Source organism: Homo sapiens, chromosome 5 (genome assembly GCF_000001405.40).
Source record: "Homo sapiens chromosome 5, GRCh38.p14 Primary Assembly".
Taxonomy (NCBI): Eukaryota; Metazoa; Chordata; class Mammalia; order Primates; family Hominidae; genus Homo; species Homo sapiens.
The window spans coordinates 174,803,655-174,828,309 of record NC_000005.10 but is presented as its reverse complement, the minus strand read 5'-3'; the positions used below and the strand labels follow the sequence as shown (position 1 = coordinate 174,828,309).

The 24,655-nt window shown below is 42.1% G+C and overlaps 1 long non-coding RNA gene across 1 annotated transcript; it reads right to left on the bottom strand.

The window, feature by feature from the left end:
- Positions 1-1,575: 1,575 nt before the first annotated feature.
- Positions 1,576-23,340, bottom strand: LOC105377742 (uncharacterized). The gene is made up of 5 exons (XR_941265.3): positions 22,763-23,340; positions 17,784-17,895; positions 8,200-8,457; positions 1,878-2,188; positions 1,576-1,765 (listed from the first exon to the last, which is right to left on the bottom strand). It is a non-coding gene; the product is annotated as an uncharacterized LOC105377742 (long non-coding RNA).
- Positions 23,341-24,655: the final 1,315 nt, after the last annotated feature.

Sequence of the window (24,655 nt, the reverse complement as noted above, 5' to 3'; positions counted from 1 at the left end):
TTTTAATTGGTATGTCATAGTTATTCATGTGAGTCTATCATGATGTATTTATATGTTCCTCTATTGAAGGACATTTAGGTAATTCCAAATTTCTTCTATTACCCCCAGTACTGTTTTAAAAATTCTCCCATTTGCTTCCTGGTGTGCACGTGAGACAACTTCTCTGAGGAAGATGGGAAGGAGAACTGCTGGCCATAGGGTGTGGACATTTTTAGCTTTCTAGATGCTGCCAAATTTGTTCTCTAGAAATTTGTTGGAAACAACACTCCCACCCATGGTTTACCCACTTCTCCACACCCTCACCAACACTGAACAGTATCAAACTCCCATTTGTAGGAAAAAGTGTTGCCTTGATTTAGACTTTCCCAGCTGCTAGGGAGTCTGAGCATTTTTTATGATGCTCAAATGTGTCTCCTTGTATGTAAATTGCTTGTTAATAGCCTTTGCACATTTTTCCACTGGGCTATTTGACTTTTCTCCCAACAATATTTTAAAGGAAATTAAAGCGCTTAAGCCCTGCTGAAATTTGAAGTGAATCATAGCTCAAAAATCTCATGCTGCACGAAAGAACGATTTGAAATGTTATTTTTAAAGGGTGGGGTGTTGAGGCTTGATGGAGAAATGTGGATGACAGGCAGATCCAAAATGAAAGAGGCCTCATGGAAACTGGATGCAGGAACTGGAGTGGAGGGTGTGAGAGCCTCGAGTAAAATTCGTAAATCCCTCCGCTGATAACCACAGGCTGGTGCTAAGGCACACAGAACATGGGCATGCTCAGCTGGTAGAGACCCCTGTCCATAAAACAATGATAAATATTCCATTAATAACTTTTATATTGATCACACATTGAAATGATAGCCTGCTGGATATATTAGGTTAAATAAAATATATTACTAAAATTAATTTTACCTGTTTCATTTTACCTTTTTTTTTTATTTTTATTTTTATTTTTTTGAGACGAAGTTTCACTCTTGTCACCCAGGCTGGAGTGCAGTGGCACCACCTCGGCTCACTGCAACCTCCGCCTCTCAGGTTCAAGCGATTCTCCTGCCTCAGCCTCCTGAGTAGCTGGGATTACAGGTGCCCACCACCACACCCGGCGAATTTTTTGTATTTTTAGTAGAGATAGGGTTTCACCATGTTGGCCAGACTGGTCATGAACTCCTGACCTCAGGTGATCCACCTGCCTCAGCCTCCCAAAGTGCAGGGATGACAGGCATGAGCCACCGCACCCGGCCTCATTTTAACTTTTAATGAGATTGCCAAAAAGCTGGAAATGATCTATGTGGTTCATGTTATGCTCCTGTTGCATGATAGTGGTCTAGGAGACAGGGACAACTAAGCTCCCCATCCCAGCACTTCAATAAGAAATACCATGTGTGCTCAGGATGGCATGCAGGGGAGCCAAACTCATGCATTTCTTTTTATGTGGAAACTCAGATATTAAAGGTGACAACGCAGGACCTCACTCTGCCTCTCACACCTCATGGAGGGTTGAGATGTCAACTCTTCCCAAGTTCATTCAAAAGTAGTTTATATTAGACCTGGAGACAAGACATTTACATCCAGACCTCCTCCATTCTCAGGACTTTTATTTGTCAGACTTTAGGTACAGCAGAGCTGGAGCTTCACCTCCCTCCTCACCCGGGCCCTGAGGATTCTTCAGGATTGGTCTTTTGCTATTACGTTTTCATCACCCAGATCATTCGGTTTTATTTGTCAAACACAATTGCTTTGGACTCCACCAGTTTACCACAGAGGACTCCTGCAAAAGGGGAAAAAAAACTCAAAATGGCTTAAAATTTTTACAAAATCAGGGGAAGAGGGATCTTTATTGGCTCTGGGACTCGTCTTCTAGGGCTGCCATAAAAATTTACCCTCTCATAGTTCCAGAAGCCAGAAGTGCAAAATCAAGGTGTCAGCAGGGTCATGCTCCCTCCAAAGGCTCTCGAGAAGCATCCATTCAGTGCCTCTTCCAGTGCCTGGCGGAGCCAGGCACTCCCTGGCTTGGGACGGCATCACTCCAGTCTCTGCCTCCATCAACACATGGCCTTCTTCTGTGTCTCTGTGTGCCCGTCTCTGTCTCTTATTAGGACAGAATAAGAGTGCTGGCCTTCCTATCCTCTCACTGGATTTAGGGCCCACCTTTTCCAGTGTGATCTCGTCTTGATCCTTACCTTAATTATGTCTGGAAAAAAAAAAAAGCAAAAACTATTTCCAAATAAGATAACATTCTGAGGCTCCAGGTGAACATGAATTTTTTGAAAGAGGTCAGTCTTCAACCTACTATATTTCTGTTTTCTGAAAAGTCCAGGGGTAAACCACTCAGGAACCAGGCCTCACCTTCTCCATACCTATGTGCTCAGCTCTGCTCCCCTCCAGGAATCACTGTCATTTGCAGGCTCCACACAGCGGCAAGAAGGTGAGAGCAGCCCCAGACTTACATCTCCCCTGGTTCAAGTCCAGCAGGAAAGAGAACCTTCTTAAAAGATGAAAAGTGAAGCACGGGGGAGGGAGTGATTCACCAAAGCCACAGGAATGTGCTGTGCTGATTGGCTCTGTTTAAGCCTGAACGTGAGCTGCCCCCAGAGCATTGCGTTCCCAGACAGGAGGAGAGGGTACCCCCCTAGATACCAGGAGCCATAGTTACATGAAGTGGGGATGCCTGCTGAGGAGGCAGACATTAAAAATCCAGCACAACCAGGTTGAGTAGAAAATCTCCACTGAGCCCTTCTTTTTGTCTTTCTTTCCATATGGTAGGAACATTTACTAAGGACCAGGTACTTGGTAGGGAGCAAAACTAAATGTGACAAGGGGCCGTGCCCCTGAGGTGTCCTGCAATCCAGCGGCAGTCAGGCTTGTTAACAATCTCAGCGTGGCACCATGAGTACCAAGGTAAAAGAGAAAAGGGGGGGTGTGGGAAGGAAGAGGAAGGAAAGAGTGTTCTTCAGGGAACTCAGATGACTTCTCAAGAAAGGCGGTGTCTGGCTGAGTCTAGAGAATGGGAAAGGACATGGAGGAAGAAGCATGAAGGTTTTGGCTGCTCAGGGAACTGTGGCAGCCTTGTGTGACTGCAACCCAGGGCACAGTGAGGGGGAGTCAGGCTGGTGGGGAAAAAGGGACAAGGGCATTAGGCAGGGGCATAACAGCTCTGGTGCTTAGAAAAATCACTCTGGAAGGGTCTGTGGGAGTCTAAGGGCGGCAGGGAGACCAGCAAGGAGGTGGTTAGAGACAAATGTGATAGTGCCTTAACCAAGGCAGGAATGGCAGCGATGGGTAACATAAAGTGGATTTAAGGTTATTGTTGGAGTAGAAATGGCTAGACTTTGCAATTGATTAGATATGAGAGGGAGGGGTGAGGGACAAAAAGGAGTTTCAAATGGGGACAGTTTTCAGTTTGGGACACTAACTGTCTTAGCTTGGGAACATGAGGAGGCACACTGGCTTTGGGGTGAAGACAGAAAAGTTAGTTTTGAACATACAGAGTTCAAGACACCCATGGAGCACGCAGGTGGGGGTGTTTCCAGGCAGTGAGAAAGGTCAGTGTTGGCAGGAAACAGAGAGAATTCGAGGTGTTAGGTATTAGCCGGGGCTATGATGTGAGAATAGGGAAGACAGTGGAGAACAGATGAGGCAAACCCTACAGAATACCATGCGTCTCAGGGTGAGAGAGTCAGCAAAAACTCCCAGGACCATGACGCAGCAGTGAGTGTGGGTAGAGTCAGTGTCACAGTCGCTGCCCCTAGGATGAGAAGAGGCCTTCCAAAGCGCAGGTCCTCATCCTGGGAGGGCAATCATGGATATTTTGCTACTTGGCCCATTCATTTCAATCAGATCAAGAAAGGAGGGTAGCCAACACAACCACTCCAAGGCGATGAAAGATAAGACACTCCAGGTGGGGCTGCCCAGCAGTGAGCTCTTAGCTCCTGCAGCTTCTAGGGGCAGAGGGGAGAAGGAGCGTGCTCTCCACTGACAAACCAAGAAGTGTCTGTGCTGGGGTCCACACACACAGAAAAAGGTGGGGCCTTGGCCCAGCAGGGCTGATGGATCCGGCCTATCCTTCAGCACTGGAGGTCACAGCGGCCCCCTAACCTTACTTAGCAAGCCTGACAGCACCTTTCATCTTCTCACCTGGGCTGCCAAGGCTTCAGGAGAGGGAGAGGCAAAATAGCGCTCCCCTCCACCCACAGGCTCTGAGGGGCTCCTGAGGGGCTCTGGCCTGACTCAGGCCCAGCAGGCCATCTCTGGGATTGAAATGCCATCTTTATGCTGGTAACTCTCTGATAAACATCCCCAACTGGAGCCCACCTCCAGACCCATGATGAACTCAACAGCTCTATGTGAATGCCCATTAGCCTCTCAAACTTAACTTTTGGTAGCTGCTTCCAAGCATCCAATCTCCCCTTCTTCCATTAGTGTAGACCCTCTGAGTTTTAGCTAAGAATATGGCTACTTAGCTAAAGACCGTATTTACTCCCTTGCTACATGTGGCCATGTGAGTTTTGGCCAATGGGACATGAGAAGAAGTGGCACCTGTGACATTCAGGTCTTGCCTTTAAAGAAAAGACGTATCCCCTTCATTTATCCTTCTCTCTTTCCCGTAGAAGTTAGGGTGGAGCTCAACCTTCCATTGGAGGCCATGATAGAAGCTCTTTTAAGGATAGAAGAGCAACAAAATAGGAGATCGAGTCCCTAGCACCGTAGCCACTGAACCATCCTTGCATAGCTTTATTCTCAGAATTGTTACATTACAGGGGGAGAAAATTTTAATTTAATCCATTGGTGGTTCTTGTTACACAGCCAGACCTGTACTGCAAGTCACAAAATGCCTAAACGCAAATTCCTATCCACCCCTAGCCCCAAAACCTGCTCTTCCTACAGTCTCTCTTATCTCAGTAAATGTAAGACAATTTTACGGTTGTCAGGCCCTAAATTTTTGACATCCTGGACCCCTCTCTTTCTCTCAATCCCAGATCCAATGTACCGGAAAGTTCCATTGGCTTGACTTTCAAACATTGGCTAGATATTTGGAGATCTTGAGGAATTCTTGTTGCTTCTTGTTAGTACAATAATGGTATGGAGGTAATGAGATGACCTCTTTTAGAGACACTTATTAACATATTTACAGATGGAATCCTCAGATGTCTTGAATTTGCTTTAAAATAATACAGAAACAGGGTGGGTAGCAAGGAAACAAGATGATCCTGAGTTGATTATTGTGGAAGTCGAGTGATGGTTACTCACAGTTTCATTTTACTATTCTCTTTGCTTTTATGTTTTAAATTTTCCATGATAGTTTTTTAAAATGTTTACAGTATCCCAGCATGTCCTCCCACCATGATCCTGATCCAGGTGCTCATCCTGTCTACAACCCTTCCCTAACGGATCTCCCTGCTTCCACTCTTCCCGCTGTTCCTATGCTCAGCACAGTGCTGGAGCAACACTTCCAAAGACTCAGGCCTCTCCTTTGCTCTAATCCTCCAGGGGCTCCAGTCTCAGCGGAAAAGCCGGTCAAGTCCTTGCTGCAGCCCACAAAGCCTGTGCTCATGAGATCACCTCTTACCTCTCTGTGCTTTTACCTTCTCTTAACTTCCCCTCACTCATCCCTCTAGGGACTGTCTTCCTTTGCTGTTCCCAAACACACCTGGTGGAATCCTGCCTCAAGGCCTTTGCACTTGCTCCTTCTTCCTAGGATGCCCTTCCTCCAGACAGCCTCCTGGCTCACTCCCTCACCTCCTTCATGCTTCCGCTCAAATGTTACCTCCTCAGTGAGGCCTTCCCCAACCACCGATCTGAACCAGGAGCCCCGTCCATGTTCTCCTTACTCTGCTTTCTTCTTCTCTCCATCACACTTTTGCTCAGCTGACATGCTACATGTTGACTTCTGTATTTGTTTGTGGTCAGACTTCTTCATTTCTGATCCTCCTATACCAGTAACAATGCCTAGAACCTTGTGCCTCTTGTTAAATAGCTGTTGAATGTGTGACCGGGTGAATAGCGCAGGGAAAGATAGAAATGCCATCTCGCTGTTCTGCTGGGACAGAGAGTGGGGCAGAGGAAGCGGCCAAGTGCCTGCTACTTTGGGACCCACCAGAGAAGAGCTCTCAAAGTTGGAACCCAGATGTCTAAAGTAGCTGATGGCACTACAAATGCATCAGAAGCCAGGGAGGGCACTCATCTGAGGGAAGGTGGCTGCGACCAGGAGGGTAGCAATGAGATACAAAAGCCTACGATGGCAGGGAAAGCTTACGTGGTTTACATGCTTCTCAAACCCACGCATGGATTTTTAAATAAGGATCAATGATGGTATCAATTCTGAGAGTTCACAGGTTCAAAAGGTGTTGCAGGCCCTGCACCTTCATCAGATTCTTAATAGCACATTCAATAAACTAAGCAGAGTTTCAATGACATACTAAGAATCCTAGAACCATGCATGGTGCATATGTATTTGCCAGGCCACAAGTCAGGTGGGCAAAATCGAATTTTGTTTACTTTTCTAGAATTGAACTAGAGCTCTCTCTTAAAATTCTGACTGAAAGCTTAAACTAGTCACCACTGGGAAAATTCAAGTAAATTCTGACTCAAATTCATTCAAATATCTAAGAAGGAAAGAAAAGAGAAAACAGAGGCAAGGTCACATATTAGTTTCTTACTGTTGCCATTACAAATTTCCACACTCTTGTTCCTTAACACAGTCCCAGTTTATTAACTTACGGTCCTGGACATCAGAAGTACAACCTAAGTCTCGCTGGGCTAAAATCCAGCGGCAGGTAGCTGCATTTTGTCTGGAAGCTCTAGGGGAGAAACTGTTCCCTTGACTTTTCTGCTTCTAGAGGCCACCCACATTCCTTGGTTTATGGTCCCTTCCTTCATCTTCAAAGCCAGCAATATCACATCTCTTTGACCTTTCTTATGTTGCAACAAATCTCTCTAACAAGTCTCAGCTGGAAATGCATCTTTACTTTTAAGGGCACATATGATTAGATTTGGCCTTCCCAGATAATTCAGGATAATCTCCCAATTTCAGTGTCTGTAATCTCTGTCACATCTGCAAAGTCGCTGTGCCATGTAAAGTAACATACAGGTTCTGGGGACTATGGCATAGACATCTTGAAAGGAGGCATTATTCTGCTTATTGCAGGAAGTGATAAAAGTAGTAATTCAAGAATTTTTTACAGGACTGGAATATATAAAAATAACCTTAAATCCATCCATTCATTGAACGCAGACTTAGCACTCACTTTGTGCCAGGTCTACCCCATGTCCAGGGATAGAGCAGTAAAGGTGTCAGCTAGCACCTGCCCTCTTGAAGCTTACATTGCAGAGGAAGGAGAAAGACCATGAACAAGAGAACAAATAGAAATACTAGGTGATAGTGGGCAGTAATGAGGGTTAGAAAGGAAATGTTGAAGGATGTGTGGAATACTTTGAGTAGAGAATGTAGAAAGGCCTCACAGAGGCAATGACAGGGAGGATAGGAAAGGAGCAGCTATTTGAAGGAAGAGCACCCTGGTCAGAAGAAAATTCAAGCACAAAAGCCCTGAGGTAAGACTAAACTTGGGATTTTCAAGGAAGCGAACAAAAGACCAGTGTGATTGGTAATATAATGAGCCAAGGGGATAGACGTGATAAAGGAGGGAAGAACGGTGGACAGAGGCCAGTTTTGCAAGGCCTGGCTGGCCATGAGAATTTTGTTACTGGTATACTGGAGAATTTTGTGAAAGGGGGTGACATGATCAGATTTACTATTTTTAAAGGTCACTTTGTCCATCAATTGTTGAATAGATAAACAGTGAGTGGTATGTCCACAAAATAAACTATCATCCAGCCATAACAAGGAATGAAGTATCGATTGTGAGCGTCCACAGGTCCAAAAGGCATTGCAGATCCTGCACCTTCATCAGATTTTTAATAGCACATTTCATCAAACTAAGCAGAGTTTATCAGCTGCACTTCTGGCAGCCCTGGAGGTTGACTTTCTCTAGATGTCCAATCAAAGGGACTTAAAATCTGGGCCACCGGGCACAGGTGTGAGTAGAAGGATCATACTCAACGCTAGAGGATTAGGTGAAAAGTCCACATGCTCCATGATGATGCCACCTCCCCCCCTCACCCCGACCCCTTTAAATCCTCTTCCCCCACTCAGCTGTGAGAAAAGCCCACAGCCAGCGTTATCCCTACACACCCACCCACACCCACCTGAGGCAGGAGATTATAGAAGTCCTCTCTGGAACGCTGTATGAACAAGGCTTCCATTGCAATAAGGCTGGGTAATAGTCCCAACTCTCACTGGCTTACCATCACAAACATTTATTTTTCATACTTGTGAGCCTGCAGGTTGGCTGGGGTTCAGCTTAGCCCATCTAGGCTCAAGGAGGCTCCAGACTGAAGGCTGGGTTAAGGTCTTCATGAATCTCCTCATTAGGGGCCAGTGGCTGCTTGTCTCATATTCTTATGCTGGATAACAAAGAACAAAAGGGCAAACTAAAGGACACCCACAAAAACATGGAAAGGCTTGGCTCTACATTCCAAAAGCCAAAGCAAGTCACGTGGCCAAGCACAGCTCCAAGCGGCAGGGAAGGGCACCTCTCCCAGATTCACGGTAATCCACATAGCCCAAGACAAAAGACACATGAACACCAGCAATTGAGCCCCTCTAGTGAAACAGCCCAGTCACATCACCCTGCAGCAAAACGTCTGGCCTCAAGACCCCTTAATATTTTCATTTTTTATTTTTATTATATTTATTTATTTTTTGAGGTGGAGTTTAACTCTTGGTGCTCAGGCTGGAGTGCAGTGGCGTGAACGTGGCTCACTGTAACTTCCGCCTCCTGGGTTCAAGTAATTCTCCTGCCTCAGCCTCCCAGGTAGCCGGGATTACAGGCATGCACCACCACGCCCGGCTAATTTTTTGTATATTTTTAGTATGAGACAAGGTTTTACCATGTTGGTCAGGCTGGTCTTGAGCTCCTGACCTCAAGTGATCCACCCACCTCGGCCTCCCAAAGTGCTGGAATTACAGGCATGAGCTACCGAGCCTGGCCCCTCCCCCTTAATATTTTTAAAATGTATTGAAGTCTGCAGAGAGATTTTGTTTATGTGAGTTGTATCCACCAATATTTAGAAACTAAAACCAAATGTTTTTAATACTGATTAATTCACTATAAAATAACAATAACAAACCCATTATATGCATAAATAACATTTTTATTAAAAATAACTTTTATCCAAAACAGAAAAACATTAGTGAAGAGAGTGGCATTGTTTTAAAATTTGCAAGTCTCTTAAGGGTTTGGCTTAATAATAAACCTAAATTGTCCTATTTGCTCCTGCATTCGATAGGTTGTGATGTACTGTTGGGCTGAAGCATGTGAAGACTACAGAGCTGTGTAGCTGGAGAAGAGGAATATTTCAATAGTTTTCAAACAATTGCAGATATATTTCTTTAATACCACATCAAAAGTGCACAAGTAATAGTTTCTTAAAGGTTAGTTGCTGTGCGTTATCTGAAACCTTATTGTTAAACTTTTTGTCTTCTGCTGTGTTAAAATCCATTGGCCCTTCTGGTATTTTGAATAAGTCTTTTACCAATATGTGATTTTGTACTGGTTCACAGAATCATGCAGATTTTCCAACATGTTAACACATTTGATTCTACAATATCAAATGTCAGTCATTATTATTACTGCTGATCTCATCAGAAAAGCTTAAGTATTCATAAGATAACAATCTCCCTCTGACAAACACAATTTTCAAAATTTTAATTTCTGTTTTAAAGCTTGAATTTTATCATGGGCGAAAAATACTGTCAGTCATTTTTCTTCAAGTGGTAAGCTAACTTCACTCATTTTCAAGATAATGTCTGCCAAATACCCAGGTCTGAATAGTTATTCTTCCAGTTATTCTTTCAAAAAAAAAATGGAATTCCAAGAAAAAAAGTAGCTAGTTCCACTTGCCAATTCAGTACAAGAGTGTTTTTCCTTGAGTCAACCATCATATTTCACCTGCAGCAACAGTGCTTTATACGTATTTTCCATTGTTGCAGACTATTAAAAAGATATTTACTCAAGATTTAATAAAACCAATATATTTTCTGCTTCATGAAGAACATTCCCAAGTGAAACTGGCATTTTATTTTTATTTTCAATGTGTGGCAATAAAGAATTCAAAAATATTAGTATAGCATAGTGCCTTGATTTGTACCAGTAGTTTTAGCCATTGTATTACTCCACGTTCTCCAGAGAAACAGAACCAATGGGACATACACACACACACACACACACACACACACACACACACACCATATTATAAAAAGTTGGCTTACTATGGAAGCCAACAAGTCCAAAATAGAGCCAATGCTGAGCTCCAGTCTGAAGGCAGTCTGCTGTAGAATCAAGAAGAGCTGCTGTTGCAGTTGAAGCCCAAAGGCAGTCTGCCAAAAAATTATCTCTCTTGCTTAGGGTAAGTTAGTCTTTTTGTTCTATTCAGTCCTTCAACTGATTGGATGAGGCCCACCCACGTTATGGAGAGCAATCTGCACTACTCAAAGTCCACTAATTTAGGCCAGCAAAATGTCAGAATAGGAAGCCCAAAATCCTTGTTTCCCTTACAGACACCAAATCAACAAAAATACATAAACCAATTCCCTTTGTGAGAAATCTCAAAAACAGTGAAGAGGTTCCTGTACCTCCAGCAAGCACAAAACCAGCTGCATCAGAACTATAGAAAAATGCATAGCACTCACCTGCCTAAGCTCCTCTCTCCAGCTTAGCATGCCATGACTGGGGGAAACTCCCAGCTCCTGGCTTCTTCCTGGAGAAACAGTTGAAGTGTGTGTCCAACATTCTGTCCATTTGGGAGGCTAAGAGACTGATCTATTTCTCACCTGTTTTGGAGTGCTGACAGAGCCTGGCATACTCTAGGTGTCTGGGGGCAAATAAGAACAAAAGAGAGCTAGCAATATAATAGACATAGCCAGAGGACCAGCGGTTTAACAGACGTAGCCTTGGTGACCTCTTCCTTGGGGGTTGGAGGGAGGGGAGAATAATTGAGCATGCATCCACTAGTACAGTTTTGGTGGGGCTGGTGGTCGAGGCTTCTGAAAAAAAACAGCTTTTGTCCTGTACAACTCAAAGCACTGACAGGATCTGACATGCTCTAGAAGCCTGGAAAGTTCTGAGGGAAAATAAGCCAGGAGGCTAAAAAGAGATCCAGAGAACCTGCAATACCACAAACAGACGCCAGGGAAAGCAAGATATTATGAGTGCTAAAAAAAAGAAAACAGCAAATCTCTCTAATTGGTAATTAACATGTGTAAGTCCAGAGAAGATGTCTCCACAGAAAATGTTTGAGACACTTCAGAATGTCACACCAGGCTGCTTGGTAAAGACATTTCTCTTTACAAAGCCAGTTACTAAAGACTGGAAGGTGTGTCTGTTTTTTTAAATGCATAATTCCCAACACAAAGTTATGAGGTATAAAAAGAAACAAAGAAGCATGGCCCAAAAGAGAAAAAAAAAGTAAATCTTTAAAAACTGACCCTAAAGAAAAGAGATATGTGTCCAGGCGTGGTGGCTCACGCCTATAATCCCAGCACTTTGGGAGGCCAAGGTGGGCAGACCACCTGAAGTCAGGAGTTTGAGACCAGCCTTGCCAACATGGTGAAACCCTGTCTCTACTAAAAATACAAAAATTAGCCGGGCATGGTGGCGTGAGCCTGTAAGCCCAGCTACTTGGAAGGCTGGGACAGGAGAATTGCTTGAACCCAGGAGGAAGAGGGTTGCAGTGAGCCAAGATCATGCCACTGTACTCCAGCCTGGGTGACAGAGTGAGACTCCATCTCAAAAAAAGAAAGAAAGAAAAAAGAAAGAGATATGTGAATTACCTGAAAAATAATTCAAAATAACCATCATAAAGATACTCAGTGAGCTCAGGAAAATGATACATGAACAAAATAGAAAATCGAGAAAGACAGAAAATATAAAAAAGAATTACATATTTTGGAACTACATGATAAAATAACTGAACTAAAAAATTCACTAGAGGATTCAATGTCAGAATTGATCATGCAAAAAAAAAAAAAAGCAAACTCAAAGACAGGTCATTTGAAATTATCCAGTCAGAAGAACAAAAAGAAAAAAGAATTAAGAAAGCCTAAGGGAATTATGGAACACCATTAAAAAAAAATACATTATGAATGTTCCAGAACAAGAAGAATAGAGAGAGAAAGGAAGAGGCAGAAAGCTTATCCTAAGAAATAATGGCTGAAAACTTCCTAAGTCTGGGGAAGTAACTGAACATCAGATTTAAGAAACCCAACGGATTCCAAATGATGAATCCAAAAAGGTCTATCACCCAAACACATTATAACCAAATGTTCAAAAGTCAGAGACAAAGAGACAATTATGAAGGCAGCAAAAGAAAAGTGACATGCCTCATAAAACAGAGTCTGCGTAAAACTATCAGCAAATTTCTCAGCAGAAACCTTGTAATTCAGAAGTGCATGGGATGATATAGTGAAAGTGCCAAAAGGAAAAATATCCTGTCCACCCTGAATATTGTATCCAGCAAAACTTTTCTTCAAAAATGAAGGAGGGCTGGACGCGGTGGCTCACGCCTGTAATCCCAGCACTTTGGGAGGCCGAGGTGGGTGGATCACGACGTCAGGAGATCGAGACCATCCTGGCTAACATGGTGAAACCCCATCTCTACTAAAAATACAAAAAAAAAAAAAAAATTAGCCAGGTGTGGTGGTGGGCACCTGTAGTCCCAGCTATTCAGGAGGCTGAGGCAGGAGAATGGTGTGAACCCGGGAGGCAGAGCTTGCAGTGAGCCAAGATGGTGCCACTGCACTCCAGCCTGGGTGACAGAGCACAACTCCGTTTCAAAATAAATAAATAAATAAATAAATAAGGAGAAACACTTTTCCAGGTAAACAAAAGCTGAAAGAGTGCCTTACCATTATACCTGCCTTACAAGAAACAGTAAAGAAAATTCATGAAGTTGAAATTCAAGGATACTAGACAGCAACATGCTAGAATGGCCAATTATCAAAAACAAAAACAAAAGAGAAAATGACAAATGTTGGTTAGAATATGGAGAAATTAGAATTCTTGTGCACTGCTGTTGGGAATATAAAATGGTATTAGTCACTATGGAAAACAGTATGGAGTTCCCTCAGAAAGGGAAAAATAGAACTACCATATGATCCATCAGTCCCACTTCTGGGCATATATACAACACAACTGAAAACAGGGCCTCAAAGAGATATTTGTATTCCCCTGTTCTTTGTAGCATTATTTCCAATAGCCAAGTGGTGGAAGTAACCTAAAGGTTCATTAATGGATAAATGGATAAAGAATATGTGTGTGTGTGTACGTGTGTGTGTGGGATAAGATTCACCCTTAAGAAAGAAAGAAAGAAATTCTGTCACGTGCTACAACATGAATGAAACTTAAGGAGATTATGCTTAATGAAAACATTCATCACAGTAAGATAAATGCTACCTGATTCCACTTTTATGAGGTAATTAAATGTAGTCAAATTCATAGAAGCAGAGAGTAAAATGGTGGTTGCCAGAGGTTAGGGGAGGCGGAAATAGGAGTTGCTATTTAATAGACATAGTTTCAGTCACTCGAGATGAAAAAGTCCTAGAGATCTGCTATACAGCAATGTACATACCGTTAGCAATATTATAATGTACACTTAAAAATTTGTTGAGAGTAGATTTCATATTATGTATATTTTACTACAATTTTTTCAAGTCCACAGATTTAAATCTTAATCTAAAGCACCCTCACAGAAACATTCACAATAATTTTTGACCAAATACCTGAGCACCCTGTGCCAATTTGACACATGAAATTATCCATCATATCCATCATTGCTTTTGCATAATCACTACAATTTTCAACCCAGTGCAAAGGGAAATTAACATCTCAATATTATTATGAAGATAGTTTTGACACCGTGGACCTCTGAAGGGATCCCAGTGACTCTCAGGGGTTCACAGACCACACTTTGAGAACAGCTGCCCTATAGTGAAACCTGCCATTCAACTCATAAACACAAATCTTCATTCAGCTTCTTAGCACACTCTCTTCCATAGAAATGGTCTGCCAAGCATGTACAGACATTTGATGAAAACCTATACTGTAAAGGAAATTAAACAAAAACTAGAAGGAAAAGAAGGAGGAGGAGAAAAGAAAAAAAGAAGGGGAGGAAAGGGGCAAGAAGAAAGAGAAGAAAAAAAGGAGGAGACAAAGAAAAAACTCGTAACAGACACAATGCAAGGAATAGAAAAGACATTAGAAATATGAATGTTACATTTAATGTTCTAAGAGATATGAAAAGATGCTGTATCCATGGAATAAGAAGGGATGACAATGTAGAGACAGAAAAATAAGAAAAATTAACCTTTAAAATTAAAAATGTAATAGAAGAAATTTTAAAAATTCACTAGAGGATTGAAGGATACATTTGAAGAAATCCCTTAGAATGAAAAGACAAATAGGTCAAAAATTGGAAATAAAGTAAATAAAAATTAGAGAATTAGTCTAGGAAGTCCAACATCCAAATAACTGTAATTAGAGAAAACAGGAGCAGAGAAAATGGAGGGAGGATATTATTAAAGAGATCACTCAAATTTCCCATGATTAAAGGAAATTTGAGTGATCTCTTCAACAATATATATACATATATAAGAGTCTATGTTCCATACTGAAAGGGCCCAGCAGTGTCTAAAAAAAGAATGTTTCAAAAAGCAATGCTTCTAATAGCTCCCAGAGTTGGGAAGCGGGGGGAAGGCAATAGATCTCACTAAAATAATCAGATCTGAAAACGGCCTTAGCTTACTTACCACCAACATTGGAAACTGGTGAATGGATGAGAGTCTTCAAATTTTGAAGGAAAAAAAGTAATTTCATTCAAACATAATCTGAAGTAGTTAAGATATATCACAAGGTGCCGGTGGCTCACGCCTGTAATCCCAGCACTTTGGGAGGCTGAGTCTGGCGGATCACGACGTCAGGAGCTCGAGACCATCCTGGCTAACACGGTGAAACCCCGTCTCTACTAAAAATACAAAAAAAATTAGCCGGGCGTGGTGGCGGGCGCCTGTAGTCCCTGCTACTCGGGAGGCTGAGGCAGGAGAATGGCGTGAACCCGGGAGGCGGAGCTTGCAGTGAGCCGAGATCGCGCCACTACACTCCAGCCTGGGCTACAGAGTGAGACTCCATGTCAGAAAAAAAAAAAAAAAAAAAAAAAAAAGGATATATCACAAGGTATAAAGAATAATACAATGGAAAACCGAGTATCTTTCAACTCAAAAAGTAAAACATTACCAAGACAGTTGAAACCCTCTGAATATATTTTCCATGTCCTATCCTTCTCCCCACCTCCTAGAAGCAAATATTGCCATCCTGGTCATTATTAATTGTATATGATGCCTCAAATTTCCTTATACTTTGCTACATATCCACGTATTCCTAAGCAATATTATTTTGCACTTTAAAATATAGAAAGAATGATGCACATATTAATGTATATAAAATTATTATAATACATATAATATATGGAATTGTCCCCTTAGAATTTTGTTTGTAAGACTCATCCCTGTTCATAAGTATTGCCCTGGTTCATTATCACTGTTGCATGGTGCTTCACGGATTTAGCATAATTGGATGTTTGGTTTGCATGGATATAGCATCACTTATTTATGTAGTCTCTTACTTATGGATATAAAGTTTGTTTCCAATCTTTTGATATCAAAAATATAAATAGCGTGTCAACTTGCATGTTTCTGTTGAGGCACCAGGGAATGATAACCTTCAGATACCAAAGCAAATGCCATACATAGACTTTACAATGGAAGGAATCAGCTTCATGATTCTTGAACCCTTTACTCACTTTGATACTGCAGAAGCAGTGAAAACATCCAATTTCCTACAGCATAGCATCCTGTATGGGTTATTTTACTCGTCACTCCCCATCTTTTATAGTGCTATTTTCTAAACTTATTTCTGAGTGTAGTCTCAGCTAAACTTGTATAATACTAAAATCATGAGAACTCCCTATTTAAGCAACAACTAAAATCTATTGGGCTATCCACTTGATTAACTTATAAAGTGTTAAAGGAAATATTTTACATGAGTAATCACTTATCAAGTTTTATTATGGCATAATTTGTAAAAAATAAATTATAAAAGAAATTAGGGATACATTGATATGAGAATTTGTCATATCTGAGGTTCAAAACTGCAATCAAAGTGGTCTGAAGACTTAATGTGTTTATTTAAATGTGGCCTCTTTGTGTTAAATGTGAAAACATAAACATTTTCTTGTAAAAGTTGAAGGAAGAAAGAGGCTTTTTGGAGGAGATTTTGTTTGAAGAGTGATGTTGTGATGATGACTGTGTCACCATCCCCATAAGTGGCAGAAGGAGGATGCCTGTCTCTCACCTCAAGCTTTATGAGAGATCTCAAAAGAGTCCTTTGTGATCTCTGCAGTTTAGAGCTACTGTTTGCCTCTGGCTCAAGAAATGCTGGAGCAGACAAGACAGATGCCTAGAAGAATGGATGGATGTTAGGTGGTTGCTGGGATGGGTGGGCGACTGGCTGGCTGGATGGGTGGGTTGGTGGTGGATGAATGGGTAGGTGAATAAATACATGGGTAGGTGAGTGGATGGGTGGATGGATGGATGGATGGATGGATGGATGGGTGGGTGGATGGGTGGGTGGATGGATGGATGGATGCATGGATGGATGGATGGATGGATGGATGGATGGATGCACAGATGACTAAGGAGAGTGACTACTGCACTAGATCATCCTGGCCTCTTCTACATAGGGGCAGAGGATGTATGAATGTTTCTCATGTTCTCATGAACCAAAGGTGGCTCTTGAGACAAAGAGGTGGTCTGCAGTCATTTTGAATTTTGCCCAAGGAGACACTTGGAAGATATGGCAGCTGGAGGAACCAAATGCACCCCCTACCCCCAATCCCTTCCCTCCCCCAGACCACCACCACCAAATGGAGGGTTGGCCTGGAGGATGGAAAAGTATTATGTTTGGGTGAAGGTTGAAAAATTGCTTATGTATTGGACTAAACATTGTAATTTTTGCACTAGGACTCTCTTCTCTGATTTAAAGTAACAGTAGTATTCTCTAGCCTCTAAGAATAACCAGAAAAGCCATGAGCTTGCCCAAGCTTTCATCCAGGGCCAATAAATTTTAAAGAGACAATGTTAGACAAAATAAAAAGTGCTTTATACTTGCATTCTATGAGTCATATTTACTGCCTTGCTTACACAGTAAGTTATGCATACTTTTATACAGGTGTTCGCACATACATGTAAGAATTTGTCTGTAGGGTTTATGCTTAGGAGTGGAAGTGCTGGATAAAAGAAGATGTTCTTTTTAATCTTGCTACACTATGCCAAACTATTTTTTTTAAGAAAAGTAATTTTTCACTTGAGATTCCGTATGCAGCCAGATTGTCTATGGAATATAAAGATAGGATAAAGATAAAGCGACATCTCAAAAAGCAATCTTTCCTTGTACCCTTTAGCAGGTAAACACCATAAAAATTGTATTACAGACTGACTGATGTCCTCCTAAAATTCATGTTGAAGCTTAACCCCTAATGTGACTGTGTTTGGAGACAGGGCCTTATAGGAGGTAATTAAGGCCAAATGAGGTCATATGGGTAGATTCCTAATCTAATAGGACTGGTGTCCTTATAAAAAGAGGAAGAGACAGCAGAGCTCTGTATTTTTCTCCACTCACCCAGAGAAGAGTCCATGTGAGGACACAGAAAGAAGGTGTCATCTCCAAGCCAAAGAAAGAGGTCTCACCATAAGCCAATCCTGCTGGCACCTTGATCTTGGGCTTCCAGCCTCTAGAATTGTGAAAAAAATAAATGTATATTGTTTAAGTCAAACAGCTTGTGTTTGACTGTTTGACAGCCCGAGCAAACTAACACACAAGGGAATTAACTAAAAAAAGACAAAGATATAAGATCCAGGAAACGGCTAATATAGCAAAGGAGAGACGTGAAAGGAATTCTGTAGATAATGACAATGACAGGTCTGCCGCATCCTGAAGAGCAGACCTCAGAGTCCACAGCGTTTTCTCCGGGAAGTGTCATGCAGAACTGGTAGTTCAACAGACATGTTTGACCATGTGGAAATATGAGCTGTTAAAAGATACAGAAAGATGTAGAGACCCTAAGAAAATCAAGCAAATAAAAATAGCAATAATAAAGCAAGTAATAACTCTAAAAAAGGTATATAAAGATAGGAATAGACTTCTATTCCAAATTTGTCTTAGCAGTATGTGATATATACTATAGTCACAATAATATAAACATTGAAAGTGAATTTAACCAAACATTGTGATAAAACTATTTCAGGATGTTGAAGGAAGTGGGAGTATATAAGAGCTAAAATCTTGACATATCATAATAGAAAGTCAAGAAAAAATGGTTAAAATTGGAGAATCAAGAGGTAGCTGGATAAACATGTTTTATAAAATGTTTTCAAAATGAGAAGAAATAGCTTTAAAGATGAAAGTAATTGCCTCTGAGAAAAAGATTCATGTGGAGCAAGGCTGCTGATTAATACTGTCTTTTAGCAATATTTCTCTTTTAAAAGACAATAATAGTTGCATATATTTATTTGGAAAAATATTAAAATTTAACTTAAAAAAATCTAGAGGTGCCTCCCATTAGAATCTTTACAGTGTGTCCTGTTTAATAAACATGGCTTTTAGCAAATCTAGCGTGGGATAAAGGTTGAGGTCGGAAGAGTTACAGGAAGGAAGAGGGTGTTGTAAATGACTTGTGGGAGATTCAGAAAATAGTGTTTCCGAGGAAATGACCAGCACGCTGGGCCTTGGACATGGTCAGAACGTGAAAAGCAAGGGAGGCCATGAGGCCTACCCCTGTCCTGGGTGGAACATACGGCTTGCATCAGCTCAGACTGCCATTGACAGCCACACTGGGGAGCTGCCCCTTTATCCTGGAGGTGACAGGCCCAACCAGGGATCTTTGAATAGGGGAGTAAGGTGGAAAAATATATGAAAAGTACATTGGAGTGGTAAAGGTTCTGAAGTCAGAGAGTGTGGCTTTACGCATCAGCTTCACCACCTACTTGCTGTGTGATTTTGATCGTGTAATGCAACCTCTCTGAGCCTCTGTTTTCTCATCTTCAAAATGAGGAAAGAAAAAGCACCTCTTGCACAGGATTGCTATGAGTATTGAATGTAACTGTCTATGTAATGCGAGTGTTATAGTACCTGGCACAAAATAATGATGAATGTTAATTGTGATGGAAATGATGAAGACAGTGATGGTGATGTTTGAGGAAAACCTTTTGATAGCCATAATGTAGCCCATACTTCTGTATGGCTAAAGAGTAGTTTGAAACAAAGAGACTAGTTTGAAAACTCCAACTGTGTGGGGAGACCTGGAGACCCTGGAGCTGAAACCCAGTCCTGGGAACCAGGGAAGCGAGAGTTATCGCCAGAAACTTGGATGACCAACTCGAGGAAGCAAGAAGACCAGTTGGGCCTCCTCAGGCTGTTCCTTAGAGTGCACCAGACTGAAAGCCAGCAGAGCAGGAAACCAGATCCACAAGTGTGGAGACCTTGAGGAGGAAAAGCAAAGAAGTGAACAGTCTGAGGGTGACAGGAACAGAGGTATCTCTTCTTAGTTCTTTTGTACCTAGAGAGAAAGGTCCTTACTACCATGGTCCTTGCTAACATGTTGATCAAGTTAATTTAAAAAAAAAAAAAAAAGACTTTTCTTGCTGGGGTGGTATGAGTGGGGTGAGAGGAGTGGATAAAGGCCCTGGTCCTCTTAAGTCATCCCAAGTAGCAACTGCCTAGTGAGACTCCACCTAAGGCCAACCTGGGCCTCTCCATCACTTGGTAAATGGGATGACTCCTGTTTTAGAAACTTACATATTATGTAACTAAGCTTCCTGTGAATGCACCATCTAAGGAAGCAGAGAATCAGCTCTAAAACTAAATAGCCAGCTTGAACAGCAACAGCCAATCAGAGGGCTAGAGCCTGACTTTTTCTTTTTAAATTGACAGCCTCATCCATATTCCTAAAAACAGAAAAAAACAAACCTGTAAAAACCACTCACATGGTGGCTGAAACTAACAATGAGGGGCGCATTTGCTGTCAGGGCAACCTCCCTCCTCCAAACACCTAACAAGACCAGGGAGGGGAGAGTCTGATGTGGGCATTTGTCTGACTGCAATTTGGCAAGAAATGAACTAATTAATTGCAGAGGCAATTAAAGGAGTGTTTCCATACGAAGAACACAACTTGCTTTTAACTTTTTCTGAGTCCTCTGGGACACCTCAGGAGAGGGATTTGAGGTTTCCTGGTCATGTTACTTATGCTTTGTTAGAAGTAACTTTGTTAGAAGTTATTCCCTCTTGTCGCATGAAATCTGAACACATCAAACAAAGTGGCCTGGCCCTCAGGTTCAGATCTGTCTCTTTATTTGTTCTTAGAAGACAGCATTGCAAAATTTCCCTGTAACTACTGGAGCATATGTTTCTCTTTGGAATATGTTTCTCGCAGCCGATTACATAGAGGACACTGCTTCTCAAAATGCATGAGGCCTGGGAGCTGCCTGAGAGCTCTTTAGAAGGAAGTGGTATTTATCACCCATTACTCAAGAATGGCTGTCACCAGCCAGATATCCCTGCCTAATATGGGTTAATGAAACTGGCTCCCCTGGCTTTCATAGGAATGCTTGATTATTCCAACAATGTAAAGAAAAGTTAGCTTCATATAGTCCCGGATTATGAATTCAGCCACTCCCAAAAAAAAGAGTGTTAGAGTAAAATTCTTTCATTGATTTAAATTTGTCTTTTGTGACCAGGCACGGTGGCTCATGCCTGTAATCCCAGCACTTTGGGAGGCCGAGGAGGGCGGATCACCTGAGGTCGGGAGTTCGAGACCAGCCTGACCAATGTGGAGAAACCCTGTCTCTACTAAAAACACAAAACTAGCTGGGCATGATGGTACATGCTTGTAATCCCAACTACTAGGACGGCTGAAGCAGGAGAATCGCTTGAACCTGGGAGGCAGAGGTTGCGGTGAGCCGAGATCGTGCCATTGCACAAGAAAAAAAAAAAAATTTTTGTCTTTTGTTAAGACCGTAAATATAACCACAATAATGACAATAATCATAGTTACCATTTATTCAGTGCCAGCTACATTACAACTGCCTTGAGCTGCAAAATAACCTTGCAATATGGGTGCTATTACTCCCCATTTTACACACAAGAAAACAGAGACTCATAGGGGAGGCCTGGGTGGCCCAATGTTACATAGCTAAGCAGCAGTGAGCATGGGATTTAGCCCCACAACCTGAAAATTCATTCAGCCCGCTATGGCAGTGGGCAGTTTCCCCCCTTAACCACGGTTTTACTTTCAGTAGTTTTGTACTCTGCAGTTTCAGATATTTATCAGCGGTCAACCGCTGTCTGAAAATAGATGAGTACAGTATGACGAGCTAGTTTGAGAGGAAAGAGACCACATTCACATACTTTTATGACAGTACATTGTTATAATTATTGTTATTGTTAATCTCTTACAGTACCTGATTTATAAATTAAACTTTATCATAGGTACATATGTATAAGACATATATATTATGTATATAGAAGTATATAGAGAAATTTATATATAGTACTATATATATAGGGTTTGTTACTGCTATGATTTGAATATGTCCACCAAATTTATGTCAAAATGTAATTACCATGGCTGGGCATGGTAGCTCACACCTCCAATCCCAGTGCTTTAGGAGGCTGAGGCAGGAGGATTGCTTGAGGCCAGGAGTTCCTGGCCAGCCTGGGCAATATAGTAAGACCCCCTCTCTACAAAAAAAAAATGCAAAAATTAGCCAGGCATGGTGCCACATGCCTGTAGTCCTAGTAGCTCAGGAGGCTGAGGCAGGAGGCTCACTTGAGCCCCAGGAGTTTGGGGCTGCAGTGAGCTATGATCATACCACTGCAGTCCAGCCCAGGTAAAAGAGCAAGACCCTGTCTCTAAAGAAGACTAAAATTAAAATTAAATTAGAAAACAATAAATAAAATAAAATAATTTTAAAAAGAAATGTAATTGCCATTATTACAGTATTAAGAGGAGGGATCTTAAAGAAATGATTAGAAAAATAAACAATTGGGTTGGGTGTGGTGGCTCACACCTGTAAACCCAACACTTTGGGAGGCCAAGGTGGGCAGATCACAAGGTCAAGAGATCGAGACCATCCTGGCCAACATGGTGAAACCCCATCTCTACTAAAAATGCAAAAATTAGCTGGGTGTGGTGATGCGCACCTGTAGTCCTGGCTGCTTGGGAGGTTGAGGCAGGAGAATCGCTTGAACCCGGGAGGTGGAAGTTGCAGTGATGTGAGATTGCACCACTGCACTCCAGCCTGGCTAGAGAGCAAGGCTCCATCTCAGAGAGAAAAAAAAAAAACAGTTGGAAAGAAGCTGGGTGTAGTGGCTCATGCCTATAATCCCAACACTTAGGGAGGCAGTGGTGAGAGGACAGCTTGAGCCCAAAAGTTGGAGACCTGTCTGGGCAATGTAGCAAGACCCTGTTCTCCACAAAAAGGGAAAAAACGAGAAGTGATTAGATCATGACAGTGGATCCCTCATAAATAGATTGCCATTATCTCAGGAGTAGGTTAGTTACCCAAGGACTTGAGCCCCTTGTCTGTGTCTCCTGCACTCACTTGCCATATGATGCTTCCTGCTATGAGGTGATCCTTGCCAGATGCCTGCACCATGCTTTTGGACTTCCCAGCCTCCAGAACCATGCGCCAAATAAACTTCTGTTCTTTATAAATTCTCCAGTCTGTGGTATTCTAGTAACAGAAAATGAACAAAGGCAGACACCATCCAAGGTTTCAAGCATCCATTAGGGGTCTTGGAATGTATCCACTGCGGATAAAGGGGAACTACTCTATCTCCAGTTATTTCTTCTCAACTAGACATGTGCTGAAAGTTGAAAGGAATTCCTGGCTTAAATCCAAGCTCACTGTGGACCTGGGTGTAGTCCTTTTGCCTCTGGGCTTCAGAGCCTGGGTTTTTACACAGGTAATCAAGTTAAAAGGAGGTCATTAGGATGGGCCCTAATCCAATATGATTGATGTCTTTATAGGAAGACAGCACAGCCATGTGAAGACACAGATGCAGGAGGGAAGATGTCATGAGGGCAGAAATTGGAGTTATGTAACTGCAGGCCAAAGAACACCAAAAATTGCCAACAAACCATCAGAAGCTAGAAGAGGCAAGTAAAGATTACCCTACAGATTCCAGAATGTGTGTGGCCATACCAACATCTTGATTTCAGACCTCTGGCTTCCAGAACTCTGAGACAATTGGCTTCTGTTGTTTAAGCTGCTGAGTTTGTGGTACTTTGTTACACTGCCTTAGGAAACTAATACACATGCCAACTTTGTTTTCTAATTTTTTAAATAATTATTTACTCCATACCTTCTGCATTTTTACAGCTAAAGTATAACAATGAGTTATTTGTGTTTAAAAATATATACACAGGGGACCGGGCACAGTGGCTCATGCCTGTAATCCCAGCACTTTGGGAGGTCGAGGCAGGCATATCACCTGAGGTCGGGAGTTCAAGACCAGCTTGACCAACATGAAGAAACCCTGTCTCTACTACCAATACAAAAATTAGCCAGGTGTGGTGGCAGGTGACTGTAATCCCAGCTACTCGGGAGGCTGAAGCAGGAGAATCACTTGAACCCGGGAGGCAGAGGCTGTGGTGAGGGCCAAGATCATGCCATTGCACTCCAGTCTGGGTAACAAGAGCAAAACTCCGTCTCAAATATATATATATATATATACACACACACACACACACACACACAGATGATTATTTAAAAATTCGAATAGTACATATTTTAACCAAGGCTTTCTAGAGTAGCAAAATCAATAGGATGGATGGATCGACAAATAGATGATAGATATTAGGTGATTTATTATGGGAATTAGCTCGTGATTACAGAGGCCAAGAAGTCCCATATATTAGTCCGTTCTCACGCTGCTATAAAAAACTGCCCAAGACTGGGTAATTTATAAAGGAAAGAGGTTTAATTGACTTACAGTGCCATATGGCTGGATGGCCTCAGGAAACTTACAGTCATGGTGGAAGGGGAAGCAAACATGTCCTTCTCATGACTGCGGGAGACAGAAGTGCTGAGCCAAAGGGGGAAAAGCCCCTTATAAAACCATCAGATCGGCCAGGCACAGTGGCTCATGCCTGTAATCCCAGCACTTTGGGAGGCCAAAGCAGGCAGATCATGAGGTCAAGAGATGGAGACCATCCTGGCCAACACGGTGAAACCCTGTCTCTACTAAAAATACAAAAATTAGCGGGGCATGCTGGCACATGCCTGTAGTCTCAGCTACTTGGGAGGCTGAGGCAGAAAAATCGCTTGAACCAGGAGGCAGAGGTTGCAGTGAGCCAAGATTGCGCCACTGCACTCCAGCCTGGTGACAGAGCGAGACTGTTTTCTCAAAAAAAAAAAAAAAAGAAAAATCAGATTTCATGAGAACTCACTCACTATTACAAGAACGGCATGAGGGAACCACTCCCATGATTA